Source organism: Homo sapiens, chromosome 10, assembly GCF_000001405.40.
Source record: "Homo sapiens chromosome 10, GRCh38.p14 Primary Assembly".
NCBI lineage: Eukaryota > Metazoa > Chordata > Mammalia > Primates > Hominidae > Homo > Homo sapiens.
Window position 1 is genome coordinate 68,564,743 of NC_000010.11, and position 18,514 is coordinate 68,583,256.

Below are 18,514 nucleotides of genomic sequence, written 5' to 3' on the forward strand. Positions count from 1 at the left end.
CTCATGCCTGTAATCCCAGTGTTTTGGGAGGCTGAGGCAGGAGGATCACTTGAGGCTAGGAGTTCAAGACCAGTCTGGGCAACATAGTGAGATCACCCTTGATCCTCATCTCTACAAAAAATAAAAAGAACTTAGCCAGGCATGGTGGCCTGTGCTTGTAATTCCCGCTACCGCGGTGGCTGAGATGGGAGGATCACTTGAGTCTAGGAGTTTAAGGCTATAGTTAGCGATGATCACAGCACTGCACTCCAGCCTGGGCAACAGAGCAAGACCTGTCTCAAAAAAACAAAACAAACCTGATATTGAGAAACATTGAAATATCAGTTTTTATCAGAAATGAAAAATGGAAGTAGAATTAGGGAAGAGTGTACACGGGAGAGATTTGACTGCTGGAAATATTTTAGTTCATCTGAGTGGTAGGATCTGAGTATTTATTTGAAAATACACATTTTTTCTGGACATGGTGGCCCACACCTGTAGTCCTAGCACTTTAAGAGGCTCAGGAGGGCAGATGACTTGAAGCTAGGAGTTTGAGAGTGGCCTGGGCAGCATAGTGAGACCACCCTGTCTTTACAAAAGAAAGAAAAAATTAGCCTGGTGTGGTGGCACGTGCCTGTAGTGCCAGCTACTTGGGAAGCTGAGGTGGGAGGATCACTTAAGCCCAGGAGGTCAAGGCTACAGTGAGCCTTGATATACCTGAGCGACAGAGCAAGACCCTGTTTAAAAAAAAAAAATATATATATATATATATATATATGCACACAGACACACACACATTTTTGTATGAATTGAATAATCTATGACAGAAGCACTAAAAATGGAAGCAGAGCATTTAATAATGTTTACAAAAAAGAAATTAATTTCTGGAGGTCTTTGAGGTAATTCCATATTTAAATGTGGACCTATTTAATGGAGTGGACTACATTCTCTTGCCCCTGCCTCCACAAATTTCAGGATAAACTTACTGCCCCTACTCCGTGAGTTCGGCTCTTGGGACAACTTAGTTTGTCACAAAAGAAGTTTATGTTTCAATAGTGGAGCCATGAGTGATAAAAATCAGGGTCTTGTGGGAGTCCTTATTTTGTTTCTGGTTGTCTCTGATTCTTTGGCTGGGTGGCACCCAGTGGTTTTCTCCCCTGCAGTTGGGTTTTTCAGGGGTCATTGGCCTCTTTCATGATCTCATAAAAAGGCTGTTACCATTTAAAGAGGCCACATCTTCGCAATCCATGTTGTTCATACCTTTTCTATTTCCTTGACAGGCTGTTTTTTAGGAGATAGGGTTTGAATGATAAAGATTATCTTAATTACAAGTCTGAATTTCTAAAGCACTTCAATTTAAAAATATGAAAGAATATAGGAGAGACAGAAATCAATTTGTAAACCACTTTCAAAGCAGATCCCATGACACCCTCTGGCATACCCAGATTACTTGCCTACATATATGAATTTTAATTTTTGTGGCTGATTTACAATGACTAGATTATATACTCCTAATAATTTTTTAGCAGTATAATCTTGATACAAGAGAGAAAGCATGCTTTTAATGATATCGTTGAATTTCAAGAGATTAAAATGAATTGCTTTTTGTAATGAAAATGCATCCTGATGAAGGTATTTGTTGACTTTTTGGAAATTGGAATTGGAATGTCTTGTTTTCTGAAAATCTTGTACAAAAAGCAGTGGTCTTTGGAGAAAATATCTTTCAGTTTCTCACAGCCAAAGACTGAATTACTGCAAGCCAAAACTTTTTTTTTTTTTTGGAAGAAGGGGAAAGCAGTAAGCTTAGATGCCAAGAATTCAAGTGAAGTATTCTCTGGCCTAGTGTTTGTATTTAGTACAGATTTATCAAAATGTTATTTTTTGTGTATTTGATGTTATCACTAATGTCTATTTTAAAAGTCTTAAAGACACATTACATTGACTAAATGTAGTGTGCTCTGGGAATTCTTGTGTGTATAACCTACGTAGTGTGTAAGGTGGGAACAGAACCAAAAGGAGATCTTGTTCTGGAGAATATAGCAAACTCTGAGTTAAACTGGTTCCATAATAATGATAACTACCACTTATTTTCTCTCTCTCTCTTTTTTTTTTTTGTATTTTAGAGTTGCAAACAGGCTTTTTTTTTTTAGCTCCTATTTATGAAACACCTATCATGCGCCAGCCCTGTGCTAAGCCTTTACACATATTATTTCGTTTTATTCTCATGATAACCCAATGAGGTCAATACTATTAGGTTTTCTTTTGTATTAAACATGAAGAAACATAGGTATAAAGATACCAAGAAACTTGTCACAATCTACTAATATTTATGAACTGAAAACTGAACCCAGGTCAGCCTACTTCCAACGTCCATCTTTTTACTCTGCTACCCATGTCCCCTGACACTCAAACCACAGATACCACAAGGATGAAACCAGTGCCACTAGTTTTTTCCTGTGGGAGCCCATTGAAACCTCAAAACTACCTCATTTTAGATGAAGGAACATGGACTCAGCTAAGTAGTTCTCTGAAGGACACAGAGCTGGCGATCACAGATTCAAACCCAGGACTTTTTGGTGTGAGATCATCTCTAGACATGAAACTAAACAGTGGGTCCTAGGATTACCTAGGTCAGTCAGTAATTTTTAAACAGATTGAACCCGGGAGGGTTCAAGTGATTCTCCTGCCTCAGCCTCCCAAGTAGCTGGGATTACAGGCATATACCACCACGCCCGGCTAATTTTGTATTTTTAGTAGAGACAGGGTTTCTCCATGTTGGTCACGCTGGTCTCAAACTCCCGACCTCAGGTGATCCACCCGTCTCCGCCTCCAATAGTGCTGGGATTACAGGCATGAGCCACTGTGCTTGGCCAGGTTTATTTTTTTTTAATCTATTTTTAATTTTTCTCAGACATTGGGAGGCTGAGGCGGGTAGATCACCTGAGGTCAGGAATTGGAGACCAGCCTGCTCAACATGCCAAGATCGTGCCATTGAACTCCAGCCTGGGCAATAAGAGTGAAACTCCATCTTAAAAATTAAAAAAAAAAAATCATAGAATCAAGACTGTGACAACAGAAAATTAAGACTAGTTGTCATTTGAGACCATTCGTGAGAACATATGGTTCTCACAATGAGAACAAATGGTTACCAACAACCGTTTTCCTACACCATGAGACGGAGTTCCTACACCATGAGATGGAGGCTGGAGTGCAATGGCACGATCTTGGCTCACCGCAACTTCTGTCTGCCAGGTTCAAGTGATTCTCCTGCCTCAGCCTCCTGAGTAGGTGGGATTACAGGCATGCACCACCATGCCTGACTAATTTTGTATTTTTAGTAGAGACAGAATTTCTCCATGTTGGTCAAGCTGCTCTCGAACTCCCAACCTCAGGTGATCCACCCACCTTGGCCTCCCAAAGTGCTGGGATTACAGGCGTGAGCCACTGCACTGCGCCCAGCCTTTGGGATTACAGGTGTGAGCCACCGCGCCCAGTCTTTTTTTTTTTTTTTTTTTTTTGAGATGGCATTTCACTCTTGTCACCCAGGCTGGAGTGCAATGGTGCGATCTTGGCTCCCTGCAACCTCCACCTCTCTGGTTCAAGCGATTCTCATGCCTCAGCCTCCCGAGTAGCTGGGATTACAGGCGCCCACCACCACGCCCAGCTACTTTTTGTATTTTTAGTAGAGACAGGGTTTCACCATGTTGGCCAGGCTGGTCTCGAACTCCTGACCTCAGGTGATCTGTCCACCTCAGGTGATCTGTGCACCTCAGCCTCCCAAAGTGCTAGGATTACAGGTGTGAGCCACAGTGCCAGGCCGATGCTGTGATCTTGAGAGAGACTGTTGATATCCTACTATAGTGAGCTTTGCTTTTGCTTAGAGCTTCATCTTATTTTGGGTCTGGGTAGGCAATCTGAAAAGACCCGGGTCAAAACCCAGAGTCAAGTGGTGAGACTCCATCTCCACAAAAATTAAATATTTAGACTGGCGTGGTGGCACATGCCTGTGGTCCCAGCTATTCGGGCAGCTGAGGTGGGAGGATTGCTTGAACCCAGGAGGTTGAGGCTGTAGTGAGCTGAGTTAGCACTACTGCACTCCAGTCCAGGTGACAGAGTGAGACCCTGTCTCAAAAAAAAAGAAAAAGAAAAAGACCTGTGGGATCTTGTAGAAGGGATTTTAGAACCAGCAGTCTTTGGATTGAGTCAGGAGAAAGAAAAGAGGGACATTTCTGGGTTTGGGCAGTGTCCACCACAATGCCTTCCTTAGACATAGCAGGTACTCAACAGATGTATTGGACCTGTGAGTCTTATTTGTAACCTAATTTGTCAATACTGTCTCCTGAGATTTTATGCTGTTTTGGTGTGCATGTGAAAAGCTCAAAATCTGTGGATTGTTAATTGGAATGTGGTAGGAATACTGCTGGATCTCCAGGCAGGAGAGTTTCTTTTTTTTTTTTTTTTTTTTTTTTGAGATGGAGTCTAGCTCTGTCACCCAGGCTGGAGTGCAGTGGTGCAATCTCGGCTCACTGCAAGCTCTGCCTCCCGGGTTCACGCCATTCTCCTGCCTCAGCTTCCCAAGTAGTTGGGACTACAGGTGCCCGCCACCAGGCCCGGCTAATATTTTTTGTATTTTTAGTAGAGATGGGGTTTCACCGTGTTAGCCAGGATGGTCTCGATCTCCTGACCTCGTGATCCGCCCACCTCGGCCTCCCAAAGTGCTGGGATTACAGGCGTGAATCACCACGCCTGGCCAGTTTCTTACCTTATATGAGCCTCTTCTTCCTCTGGTTTAACCAGCTTTACTGTCAAACAGATGATACTTCTCCCAGTATAGGGATATGCTCAGGAAAGAGATAATTTTTAAAGTATCCAAATTTGTAAAGATTGGGATTTAAGCTTTAAAACATATATAATGGCTAGGCATGCTGGTTCACACCCGTAATCTCCGCACTTGGGGAGGCGGGGAGGATTGCTTGGGGCCAGGAGTTCAAGGTTACAGTGAGGTATGATCATGTCACTGCACTGCAGCCTGGGCAACAGGGAGACCTGTTTCAAAAAAATAATAATAATAAATTAATTAATTAAAAATGCATGAAACTACAAGGGGTGTGGTTTCTAATGTAGAGAAAACCCCATGCTTACCTTATTTGAGGAACTTCATCAACTTAAATCATTTGTTGTAGCAATTAAAGAAGCTTTATAGTGAATCTAAGGTTTAAAGGATACTTTAGTATTTTTTCTTTTTTAAAATAATTTCAACTCTTTTAGGTTCAGGGGGTACATGTGCAGGTTTGTTACATGGGCATATTGTGTGGTACTGTGGTTTGGGGTGCAATTGGTCCTGTCACCCAGGTAGTGAACATAGTACCCAAAAGTTTTTCTTTTTTTTTTCTTTTTTTTTGAGATGGAGTCTTGCTCTGTCACCCAGGCTGGAGTGCCATGGTGCAATCTCAGCTCACTGCAACCTCTGCCTCCCGGGTTCAAGTGATTCTCCTGCCTCAGCCTCCGGAGTAGCTGGGATTACAGGCGCCTGCCACCACGCCCGGCTAATTTTTGTATTTTTGGTAGAGACGGGGTTTCACCATGTTGGCCAGGCTGGTCTCAAACTCCTGACCTCAGGTGATCCACCTGCCTCGGCCTCCCAAAGTGCTGGGATTACAGGCGTGAGCCACCGCGCCCAGCCAGTACCGGATAGTTTTTCAACCCTTGTCTCCATCCCTCCCTCCTTCTCTAGTAGTCCCCAGTGTCTATTATGGCCATCTTTATGTCCATGAGTACCTGATAAGTGAGAACATCAGATATTTGGTTTTCTGTCCCTGCATTAATTCACTTGGGATATTTTAGTACTTTCTGTGTTGATTATATTTTTCTTTTGCAGTAAACAATTCTCAGTTCCATGATTTTAATTATTTTTAATTTTTTTTTTGAGACAGAGTCTTGCTCTGTCACCCAGGCTGGAGTGCAGTGGCGTGATCTTGGCTCACTTCAAGCTCCGCCTCCCGGGTTCACGCCATTCTCCTGCCTCAGCCTCCTGAGTAGCTGGGACTACGGGCACCCGCCGCCACGCCCAGCTCATTTTTTTTTTGTATTTTTAGTAAAGATGGGGTTTCACCGTGTTAGGCAGGATGGTCTCGATCTCCTGACCTCCTGATCTGCCTGCCTCAGCCTTCCAAAGTGCTGGGATTACAGGTGTGAACCACCGCGCCTGGCCTAATTATTTTTAAATTTTTGTCATTTTCTATTTTTGTTATTTTATTTTATTTATTTTATTTTATTATTATTTTTCTGAGATGGAGTCTCGCTGTGTCACCCAGGCTGGAGTGCAATGGTGCAATCTCGGCTCACTGCAACCTCCGTCTCCTGGGTTCAAGAGATTCTCCTGCCTTAGCCTCCTGAGTAGCTGGGATTACAGGCGCCTGCCACCACGTCTGGCTAATTTTTGTATTTTAGTAGAGACAGGGTTTTGACACGTTGGCCAGGCTGGTCTCGAACTTCTGATCTCAGGTGACCCACCCACCTCGGCCTCCCAAAGTGCTGGGATTACAGGCATGAGCCACCACGCCCAGCCCTGTTATTTTATTTTATTTCATTTTATTTTTTGAGATGGAGTCTCACTCTGTCACCCAGGCTGGAGTGCAATGGCGCAATCTCGGCTCACCGCAATCTCCGCCTCCTGGGTTCAAGTGATTCTCCTGCTTCAGCCTCCTGAGTAGTTGAGATTATAGGTGTGCACCACCACACTCAGCTAATTTTTTTTTTTTTTTGGCCAGGCTAGTCTGAAACTCCTGACCACCTCAGGCTCCCAAAGTGCTAGGATTACAGGCGTGAGCCACTGCGCCTGGCAATTTTTGTATTTTTAGTAGAGATGGGGTTTCACCATGTTGGCCAGGCTGGTCTCAAACTCCTGACCTCATGATCCACCTGCCTTGGCCTCCCAAAGTGCTGGGATTACAGGCATGAGCCACCGCACCTGGCCACTGTTTTTATGAGTTGGAGTCTGCCTATGTAGCCCAAGCTGGTCTTGAACTCCTGGCCTCAAGTCATCTTCCTGCCTCAGTCTCCTAAAATGCTGGGATCACAGGCATGAAACACTGCTCCTGGTCCTTACTTTTAACTGGCCGGGCACGCTGGTTCACACCTGTAATCCCAGCACTAGGGGAGGCCAAGGTGGGTGGATGGCTTGAGCCCAGTTAGAGACCAGCCAGGGCAACATGGCGAAAACATGTCTCTACAAAAAATACAAAAATTAGCCAGGTGTGATGGTGTGAGCCTGCAGTCCTAGCTACTTGGGGGGCTGAAGTGGGAAGATTGCTTGAGCCTGGGTAGGTCCAGGCTGTGCTGAGCTGTGATCATGCCTCTGCACTCCAGCCTGGGCAACAGAATGAGACCCTGTCTCAAAAAAATAAAATAAAACAATTAGTAGTGAATATTCTATTTCAAATAGGGGAATGCATAGGAAAAAGACTCACTTCAGTGTATTCTGTTGTTATTTCAGACCAAAACCTTGTGTGACTGAGCTGAAGAGCAGTGCATCCAGATTCTCCTCAGAAGTGAGACTTTCCAAAGGACCAATGACTCTGTTTCCTGCGCCCTTTCATTTTTTCCTACTCTGTAGCTATGTCTCGATCCCGCCATGCAAGGCCTTCCAGATTAGTCAGGAAGGAAGATGTAAACAAAAAAAAGAAAAACAGCCAACTACGAAAGACAACCAAGGGAGCCAACAAAAATGTGGCATCAGTCAAGACTTTAAGCCCTGGAAAATTAAAGCAATTAATTCAAGAAAGAGATGTTAAGAAAAAAACAGAACCTAAACCACCCGTGCCAGTCAGAAGCCTTCTGACAAGAGCTGGAGCAGCACGCATGAATTTGGATAGGACTGAGGTTCTTTTTCAGAACCCAGAGTCCTTAACCTGCAATGGGTTTACAATGGCGCTACGAAGCACCTCTCTTAGCAGGCGACTCTCCCAACCCCCACTGGTCGTAGCCAAATCCAAAAAGGTTCCACTTTCTAAGGGTTTAGAAAAGCAACATGATTGTGATTATAAGATACTCCCTGCTTTGGGAGTAAAGCACTCAGAAAATGATTCGGTTCCAATGCAAGACACCCAAGTCCTTCCTGATATAGAGACTCTAATTGGTGTACAAAATCCCTCTTTACTTAAAGGTAAGAGCCAAGAGACAACTCAGTTTTGGTCCCAAAGAGTTGAGGATTCCAAGATCAATATCCCTACCCACAGTGGCCCTGCAGCTGAGATCCTTCCTGGGCCACTGGAAGGGACACGCTGTGGTGAAGGACTATTCTCTGAAGAGACATTGAATGATACCAGTGGTTCCCCAAAAATGTTTGCTCAGGACACAGTGTGTGCTCCTTTTCCCCAAAGAGCAACCCCCAAAGTTACCTCTCAAGGAAACCCCAGCATTCAGTTAGAAGAGTTGGGTTCACGAGTAGAATCTCTTAAGTTATCTGATTCTTACCTGGATCCCATTAAAAGTGAACATGATTGCTACCCCACCTCCAGTCTTAATAAGGTTATACCTGACTTGAACCTTAGAAACTGCTTGGCTCTTGGTGGGTCTACGTCTCCTACCTCTGTAATAAAATTCCTCTTGGCAGGCTCAAAACAAGCGACCCTTGGTGCTAAACCAGATCATCAAGAGGCCTTCGAAGCTACTGCAAATCAACAGGAAGTTTCTGATACCACCTCTTTCCTAGGACAGGCCTTTGGTGCTATCCCACATCAATGGGAACTTCCTGGTGCTGACCCAGTTCATGGTGAGGCCCTGGGTGAGACCCCAGATCTACCAGAGATTCCTGGTGCTATTCCAGTCCAAGGAGAGGTCTTTGGTACTATTTTAGACCAACAAGAAACTCTTGGTATGAGTGGGAGTGTTGTCCCAGACTTGCCTGTCTTCCTTCCTGTTCCTCCAAATCCAATTGCTACCTTTAATGCTCCTTCCAAATGGCCTGAGCCCCAAAGCACTGTCTCATATGGACTTGCAGTCCAGGGTGCTATACAGATTTTGCCTTTGGGCTCAGGACACACTCCTCAATCATCATCAAACTCAGAGAAAAATTCATTACCTCCAGTAATGGCTATAAGCAATGTAGAAAATGAGAAGCAGGTTCATATAAGCTTCCTGCCAGCTAACACTCAGGGGTTCCCATTAGCCCCTGAGAGAGGACTCTTCCATGCTTCACTGGGTATAGCCCAACTCTCTCAGGCTGGTCCTAGCAAATCAGACAGAGGGAGCTCCCAGGTCAGTGTAACCAGCACAGTTCATGTTGTCAACACCACAGTGGTGACTATGCCAGTGCCAATGGTCAGTACCTCCTCTTCTTCCTATACCACTTTGCTACCGACTTTGGAAAAGAAGAAAAGAAAGCGATGTGGGGTCTGTGAACCCTGCCAGCAGAAGACCAACTGTGGTGAATGCACTTACTGCAAGAACAGAAAGAACAGCCATCAGATCTGTAAGAAAAGAAAATGTGAGGAGCTGAAAAAGAAACCATCTGTTGTTGTGCCTCTGGAGGTAAGCAAACAGTCAAGGGGCTGGGAGACAGCTGACACTTGGTATAGTGATCTATATGCAGAGACACTTCTAGTGTCTCTAGTGTCTCTATGTAATAGTGAATTGCTTCACTATTACATATTTTTACTTTGGTACAATGTTACTTTAAGTTATCCATAAAAGAATTCCTGGACCTACCTGAAGTATGTCTTGTGCAGTGATGCCTTAGCTAGCTTATTTTTAGAATTTGTCCCAGAAAACTAGAACATACAGTTTTTTTCTCATTACAGGATTTGATGGAAACATAGAGAAATTGTATGAAATGTGTTTTTGCAGAGATTTCCCCTATGCCTCTTTTGGCTAGTTGCATGTCTTTTTTGGCAGTCACAGATTTAAAAATTAAGAGTGGAACAAATTCATTAACTCCATAGCAGCCTGAAAAACCAGAGGAATTAAACATCTTTCCTTTTGAAAGAACACAGTTGCATCCCTAATCTTGAAACTTTGTTTTGGAGACATAGCAATAATACAGCTTTTGTCTCAACTTTTGGTGAGTGATTTCTACCTGCTCTACCAACCTCATAGGGTTGTTGGGATTAAAGGAAAATGGCTTGTAAACTCCAAAGTGATACACAAACATTAGTTCTTATTATAGTTTATGAACCTAAGGTAGTTAAAGGATCTGTTGATTTAGAATTTATTTAAAAACTTTTAGGGAGCTTGGTTAAAACCCAGTATTGCTTTTTTGGCCTTTTGAAACACCTGTCAAATATGATGTTTTGTGATTTTTAGATCACGCATTAAAGTTATGTTTATTACATCTACTATGAATGCAGGTATGGTAGAATAGATGGACTTAGAAGTATTGTAGGCCTGGTGTGGTGGCTTACGCCTGTAATCCCAACACTTTGAAAGGCCGAGGCGGGCAGATCACCTGAGGTCAGGAGTTTGGGACGAGCCTGGCTGACGTGGTGAAACCCCATCTCTACTAAAAACACAAAAATTAGCTGGGCGTGGTGGCGGGTGCCTGTAATCCCAGCTACTCTGGAGGCTGAGGCAGGAAAATCACTTGAACCCAGGAGGCAGAGGTTACAGTGAGCCAAGATTGCGCCATTGCATTCCAGCCTAGGCCACAAAAGCGAAACTCTGTCTCAAAAATAAATAAATAAATAAATAAATAAATAAATAAAGTATTGTGGTTGGGCATGGTGGTTTACACCTGTAATCCCAGGACTTTGGGAGGCCAAGGTGGCGGATCACTTGAGGTCAGGAGTTCGAGACCAACATGGGGTGAAACCCCATCTCTACTAAAAATACAAAATTAGCTGGGCATAGTGGTGCACACTGGTAGTCCCAGCTACTCAGGAGGCTGAGGCAGTAGAATCGCTTGAACCCGGGAGGCGGAGGTTTCAGTGAGACGTCATCGTGCCACTGCACTACAGCCTGGACAACAAGAGTGAAACTCCATCTCAAATAAATAAATAAATAAATAAATAAATAAATAAATAGGCCGGGCGCGGTGGCTCACACCTGTAATCCCAGTACTTTGGGAGGCCGAGGTGGGCCGATCACAAGGTCAGGAGATCGAGACCATCCTGGCTAACACGGTGAAACCCCGTCTCTACTAAAAATACAAAAATTAGCCGGGCGTGACGGCGTGCGCCTGCAGTTCCAGCTGCTGGGGAGGCTGAGGCAGGAGAATGGCGTGAACCCGGGAGGCGGAGCTTGCAGTGAGCCGAGATTGTGCCACTGCACTCCAGCCTGGGTGACAGAGTGAGACTCCATCTCAAAAAAAAAAAAAAATTAAATAAATAAATAAATGAATAAATAAAAGTGTTGTGAGGCTGGTCATGGTGGCTCACACCTGTAATCCCAGAACTTTGGGAGGCTGAGGTGGACAGATCACTTGAGGAGTTCGAGACCAGCCTGGCCAACCTGGCAAAACCCCATCTCTACTAACAATACAAAAATTAGCCAGGAGTGGTGGTGCATGCCTGTAGTCCAAGCTACTTTGGAGGCTCAGGCACAAGAATCACTTGAACCTCGGAAGCAGAAGTTGCAGCGAGTGGAGGTTGCGCCACTGCACTCCAGCAGGGGCAACAGAGAGACCCTGTCTCAAAAAAAAAAAAAAAAGTATTGTGAGGTTTAGGCCAGGCATGGTGGCTCATGTCTGTAATCTCAGCACTTTGGGAGGGCTCAGGCAGGTGGACTGCTTGAGCCTAGGAGGTCGAAATCAGCCTGGGCAACATAGCAAGACCTCATCTCTACTAAAGATACAAAACTAACTGGGTGTGATGGCACGCTCCTGTAGTCCCAACTACTTGGGAGGCTGCAGTGAGAGGATCGCCTGATCCTGGGAAGTCAAGGCTGCAGTGAACAGTGATGGTGCCACTGCATTCCAGCCTGGTTGACAGCAATGAGACCCTGTCTCAAAAATAAATAAATAAATAAAAAGTACTGTGAACTTAAAATTCAGGAAACTGTTTCTATTTCTTTTTTTGTTTTTCATTTTCTTTTCTGAGACAGAGTCTCACTCTGTCACCCAGGCTGAAGTACAGTGGCATGATCTCGGCTCCCAAGTTCAAGCAACTTCTCCCTCCCAAGTTCAAGTGATTCTCTCTTGCTTCAACCTCCTGCATAGCTGGGATTACAGGCACCCACCACCATACCTGGCTAATTTTTGTATTTTTTTTTTTTGAGAGAGTCTCACTCTGTTGCCCAGGCTGGAGTGCAGTGGCGCGATCTCGGCTCACTGCAAGCTCTGCCTCCTGGGTTCACGCCATTCTCCTGCCTCAGCCTCCTGAGTAGCTGTGACTACAGGTGCCCGCCACCGCGCCCGGCTAATTTTTTTTGTATTTTTAGTAGAGACAGGGTTTCACCGTGTTAGCCAGGATGGTCCCGATCTCCTGACCTCACGATCCACCCGCCTTGGCCTCCCAAAGTGCTGGGATTACAGGCGTGAGCCACCGTGCCCAGCCTTAATTTTTGTATTTTTAATAGAGACAGGGTTTTGCCATGTTGGCCAGGCTGGTCTCCATCTCCTGACCTCAGATGATCTGCCTGCATTGGCCTCCCAAAGTGCTGGGATTACAGGCGTGAGCCACCGTGCCTGGCCTTCTATTTCATTCTTGACTTAAATTATCAGTTTAAAAATGCTGATTTTGGCTGCTTGTGGCACTTCGAGAGGCTGAGGGGAGAGGATTACTTGAGGCCAGGAGTTTGAGACCAACATAAGCAACATAGCAAGACCTCATCAAAAAACAAAAAACAAACAAACAAACAAAATCATAGCTGGGCCGGGTGCATTGGCTCACTCCTAGAATCCCAGAACTTTGGGAGGCCAAGGCAGGCAGATCACCTGAGGTCAGGAGTTTGAGACCAGCCTGGCCAACATGGTGAAACCCTGTCTCTACTAAAAATACAAAAAATAGCAGAGCATGGTGGTGCCCACCTGTTAATCCCAGCTACTCTGGAGGCTAAGGCAGGAGAATCGCTTGAACCTGGAGGGGGGCGTTGCAGTGAGCCAAGATCGCATAATTGCACTCCAGCATGGGCGACAGAGCAAGACACTGTCTCAAAAAACAAGAAACAAAAAAACATATCTGGGTATGTTGGCATGCACCTGTATTCCCAGTTACATGAGAGGCTGAGGTGGGAGGATAGCTTGAGCCCAAGAGTTCAAGGCTGCAGTTAGCTATGATGGCACCATTGCATACCAGCTTCAGTGACAGAGCCTGACCCTGTCTCAATAAATAAATAAATAACACTGATTTTTTATTTGTCTGAGCCACTGCAAATGAGAAATCAGACATTTAATAAATCATGTATTGATGGGCATTTAAAGTGTTTCTAAAATACTTTGTTGTAAAAAATCTTACTGAGCCTGTAATCCCAGCACTTTGAGAGAGGCCAATGTATGCTGGGCGCGGTGGCTGGCAAGAGGATTGCTTGAGCCCAAGACTTTGAGATAAATAAACTGGGCAACATAGCGACATAAACCTCTACACCAAAATTTTATTTTATTTTATTTTATTTATTTATTTTTGAGACAAAGTCTCGCTCTGTCACCCAGGCTGGAGTGCAGTGGCGTGATCTCAGCTCACTGCGACCTCCACCTCCCGGGTTCAAGCAATTCTCCTGCCTCAGCCTGCCGAGTAGCTGGGATTACAGGCACCTGCCACCATGCCCGGCTAATTTTTGTATTTTTAGTAGAGACGAGGTTTCACCACGTTGGCCAGCCTGGTCATGAACTCCTGACTCAGGTGATCTGCCTGCCTCGGCCTCACAAAGTGCTGCGATTACTGCGCGTGGCTGATTTTTGATTCTTTATAATATTTTAATTCTTTTTTTAAAGCCCCAACCATGGCAAGGACAGATTTTGAAGTTTTTAACGAGTCCTGATAAGAATTTTTACATTTAGCTAGGATTTGGACAAAGCCACCCATTCAGACATTTTCAGGAGCAAAATGGAAAAAGATCTTATTTGATGCTGAGTGACGGATACACATGGGGGACAAAGGGGATGCTTTTGCTTTGAATAGTGTTGCTAATTGCCAATTTCTGGTCTAACTTGGGGTGCTGGGATTGTAGGCATGAGTCACCATGCCCAGCCCCAAAATTTAAAAAAAAGAAAAAATTTGCCGGGCGTGATAGCTCATGCCTGTGGTCCCAGCTACTTGGGATGCTGAGGTGGGAAGATTGCGTGAACCTGTGAAGCTGAGGTTGCAGTGAGCTATGATCGCGCCACTGCACTCCAGCCTGGGTGACATAGCAAGACCCTGTCTGAAAAAAAATAATAACTACCTTACTGAAATGTATAATCTTTTACTCAATCAAGTCACGTCACACATGTGGGAATAGATAAAATGTGGCCAGTTACTGATGGTTTACAAAGTAACATTTAGCAATATCTCTAGTAGAGAGACCTCCCTTGTAAGTTACTGGTTTGTAGCATTGCCAAATGACATCATTGTAAAAAACACTGTATCTCTAATGGATATGAACACATTTGTTCTATTCTTTCTCAAACCTGCTCTTTCTCTTGCATTACATGTTTGGTTCAGTGCCATAACAAATGATTACCCAAAATAGAATATTCAGTATCCTCGCCTCCTTTGCTCATCCATCCAAATTCTCTTGTTCTACAAGTTCTGAGCGCTACCACCTCTCCATTTTCTTGGCCACTGCTATATTGAGGCCTTTATTTCTTCATCAGGATAACTTCAGTGCTATCTTTACTATCAACAAGTATTGCACTTCTCCTAGGCTATGCACTGGAAATCCAATCATGAGCATTCTAGCCACCAGGGAAATCAGGAAGCTGAATAACAAGCTCCCCTTAGGGGAGTTCAAGTTTTCCTTCTGAAAAACATGATTCTCCTATCTAACTACATGTAGTGTTCTCTTTATGTGATATATTTCACTCAAAATAAAAGAAATAGAGCAAAACTTTCAGGGCCTTCGAATGATTAGATGAAGCCTAGATTCATTAGCAGGGAATACAGCACCTTTAAGATTTTTGCAAAACCCACTTCTGTCTTGTTTGCCTTCATGTATCTTCACCTTCTACTTGCTGCAGCAGTATACGACTGCATACATTTCCCCAGTGCATACTCTTGCCTCAGTCTCCAGGCCCAAGTGATGCCCTTCTTCCTTTCTCTCTCTTCTTTTTTTGAGACAGACTCTCACACCTTCCTTCTTCTTTTTTTTTTTTTCAGATAGAATTTCACTCTTGTTGCCCAGGCTGGAGTGCAGTGGTGCAATCTCAGCTCACTGGAACCTCTGCCTCCCGGATTCAAGTCATTCTCCTGCCTCAGCCTACCTAGTAGCTGGGATTACAGGTGCACACCACCACGCCCAGCTAATTTTGTATTTTTAATAGAGATGGGGTTTCTCCATGTTGGTCAGGCTGGTCTCAAACTCCTCTCCTCAGGTGATCCACCCCCCTTGGCCTCCCAAAGTGCTGGGATTATAGGCATGAGCCACTGTGCCCGGCCGAGTCTCACTCTTTCACCTGGCCTATTTTATTATTAATTTTTATCTTATTTTTCAGTATGAACCAATGCATTTTTATTATATTCAATTTTTTTTTTTTTTTTTTTTTTTTTGAGACAGAGTCTTGCTCTGTCACCCAGGTTGGAGTGAGGTGGCATGGTCATGGCTCACTGCAGCCCTGACCTCCGGGCTCAAGTCATTCACCCACCTCAGCCTCCCAGTAGCTGGTACTACAGGCACATGTCTGGCCAACTTAAAAATCTTTTGTAGAAGGCCGGGCACGGTGGCTCATGCCTGTAATCCTAGCACTTCGGGAGGCCAAGGAAGGTAGATCACTTGAGGTCAGGAGTTCAAGACCAGCCTGGCCACATGGTGAAAACCCATCTCTACCAAAAATTCAAAAAAAATTAGCCGGGTGTGGTGGTGCATGCCTATAATCTCAGCTATTTGGGAGGCTGAGGCAGGAGAATGGCGTGAACCCAGGAGACGGAGGTTGGGGTGAGCCAAGATCGCACCATTGCACTCCAGCCTGGGCAACAAGAGCGAAACTCCATCTCAAAAAAAAAAAAAAAAAAAAAAAATATATATATATATATATGGCGTGATGGTGGCCCACACTTTTGTAATCCCAACTACTCAGGAGGCTGAGGTGGCAGATGGCTTGAGCCTGGGAGGTTGAGGCTGCAGTGAGCTGTGATCTCTCCACCGCACTCTAGCCTTGGTGGCAGTGAGACTGTGTCTCAGAAAATATGTGTAAATTCTGAAGGAGTCTCTGAATTTATTCTCGTTTGAAGGTTGCCTGTAAGAAATAAAATATATTTAGCCCCTAAAGCCATGTACCATTTCTCAGAATGTTGACTGCTAACTCCTCGGATAAGTGAAAACAACCTTAGACTTTATTAAGTCATAGATTACATTGTAGTCTCCCATTCTTTAATTGTATGACAGTGTGTTATGTAATCTTCTGAGAGGTATCTTTTGGTCATGGAAAAAAACTTAATTTGTCATCTGTCAAGCCTAATTCAGCTTACTCTTCTTGATGTTCAGAATTACAGATAATTAAAACTGCTAGCTTTGTCACTCTCAGTCATCTAGGAATTTGCTTTCGGTTAGGGTTTTCCTTCTATGTGTTTGTAATTTTGAAAATACTATAAATAGGGTAGTGCATTTTGAAACATATGCACTACCCTATTTATTGAACAGTGAGAGATTGTTACAAAAAAGGAACGGGGGACTGTAGAGCTATTCGCAGACATTAGAGAGTAGGTGCTTTGGCTAAGCTACACTTTCACAAGTAATTTTTAGTATGTGTGAAAGCCAAAGAAAACAAAATTGGCCATGGGGACTGGCACATGCCTGTAACCCCACCACTTTAGGAGGCCGTGGCAGGCAGATTGCTTGAGCCCTGGCATTGGAGACCAGCCCAGGCAACATGGTGAAACCCCGTTTCTCCAAAAAAATACAAAAATATTAGCTGCGCATGGTGGCATGTGCCTATAGTACCAGCTTCTCGGGAGGCTGAGGCAGGAGGATAGCTTGAGCTCAGGAGGTGGAGGCTGTAGTGAGCTTAGATCACACTACAGCCTGGGCGACAGAGTGAGACCGTGTCTCAAAAAAAAAAAAAGGAAAGCAATCTAAAGTCGTGGACTATATCCCTGAAGATAGGGTCTTCATATATCTCTAGCCAGGTGATTTTGGTGTAGTATCATGCATTTAATTAACTTTCATTGAATGACTGGACAATTAGTTTGCAAGTTTAGTCAAACTGAAATAATCTCTCATATTTACTCTGGTTAATGTATTTTTTGTCTAAAATATTAAAGGGCTATTATGTACTTGGTTAGTTTAAATAGAAGCATATTAGATGACACTATTTTTTTTTTTTTTTTATGGAAATGGAGTTTTGCTCTTGTTGCCCAAGCTGTTGTGCAATGGCACAATCTTGGTCACCACAACCTCCACCTCCTGGATTCAAGCAATTCTCCTGCCTCAGCCTCCCGAGTAGCTGGGATTACAGGCATGCACCACTACGCCTGGCTAATTTTGTATTTTTAGTAGAGACAATGTTTCTCCATGTTGGTCAGGCTGGTCTTGAACTAACCTCAGGTGATCCGCCCACCTCGTCCTCCCAAAGAGCTGGGATTACAGGCATGAGCCACCGCACCTGGCCTTAGATGACACTATTAAGTCAGCTAATGTGCCATGTTCATTACCACGCTAGCCTCTTAATTAATGCAAATTCCACTGGAAAAAAAATTGTAATACCTACATGGGCTGTGTTTCAGGAGCTAAAAAGTTAAGTAGTGTTAATATGATACAAATTGAACGACTGACTGTCCACTATTTTATGTGCAGGCCTTTCCATGTGATAATTGTCTAGTTCCAGGGCTGTCATTTCAGAATTACTTGACACACTTGTATTATTTTATCCCTTTTGGTGGCAGTGGGGGTGGGGCTAGCCTCTCTTGGCCATTGCTTTTCTCAGTTTTCAAACAGCCGTATCTCATTATGGCATATGTTACATATGGCATATGGAACAAATTTTTGCTACCAACTCTTTCAATTGAGGGCAGATGTTATATGTACTTAAATATGCCTTTAAGGAATCTCTTTGTATCACTACTGAGACTTCAGTAGCATACTGCACCACAGAACTGGACTTGGGGAAAAAAACCAAAAAACAAACTTTTGTTGTTTAGTAGATATTCGTGTATAACCTCCAAGTTTGTCAGTATAAAGGCATGTAGACTGATTCTGACCCATGGGTGTTAATTTCTGAAATTTTGTCACAGCAGTTCAAATCTTACCCTGTCATTTCGTATGTGTTATCTTTTCCAGGAAGAAAAATTTGTAAAACTGGCCAACATCTTCATCTAGTGTCAGCATAATCCAAGTTACACTGTGATGTAATATTGAGCACCCTATTATCGTGCATGTTTATTTTGCTGCAGGGCTTAACTTCAGATCTCTTTTTGTTGGTCAGGCTTTTGGTTTTTTATTCCAGGGTGGTATTTCAAGAATTGACTATATC

At 43.9% G+C, this 18,514-nt stretch overlaps 1 protein-coding gene across 8 annotated transcripts in view, besides 2 other annotated features; it reads left to right on the forward strand.

Annotated features, from left to right (window-relative positions):
- Nucleotides 1-18,514, forward strand: part of TET1 (tet methylcytosine dioxygenase 1) — a 134,151-nt gene that overhangs the window by 4,406 nt on the left and 111,231 nt on the right. For all 8 annotated transcript variants that reach the window (XR_001747211.2, XR_001747212.2, XR_001747210.2 and 5 more), the window contains exon 2: nucleotides 7,475-9,510. Coding sequence is in view for 5 of the 8 variants with exons in the window: in NM_001406365.1 (NP_001393294.1) it covers nucleotides 7,597-9,510 (1,914 nt within the window). In the remaining 3 variants the exon portion in view is untranslated. The remainder of the gene's footprint in view (nucleotides 1-7,474; nucleotides 9,511-18,514) is intronic.
- Nucleotides 3,055-3,555: an enhancer, noted in NCBI's record as "H3K4me1 hESC enhancer chr10:70327554-70328054 (GRCh37/hg19 assembly coordinates)". NCBI's record gives its function as "activates a minimal SCP1, AML or CMV promoter by ChIP-STARR-seq in naive H9 embryonic stem cells {active_cell/tissue: H9 hESC(naive)}" and the evidence as "EXISTENCE:reporter gene assay evidence [ECO:0000049][PMID:30033119]".
- Nucleotides 3,556-4,056: an enhancer, noted in NCBI's record as "H3K4me1 hESC enhancer chr10:70328055-70328555 (GRCh37/hg19 assembly coordinates)". NCBI's record gives its function as "activates a minimal SCP1, AML or CMV promoter by ChIP-STARR-seq in naive H9 embryonic stem cells {active_cell/tissue: H9 hESC(naive)}" and the evidence as "EXISTENCE:reporter gene assay evidence [ECO:0000049][PMID:30033119]".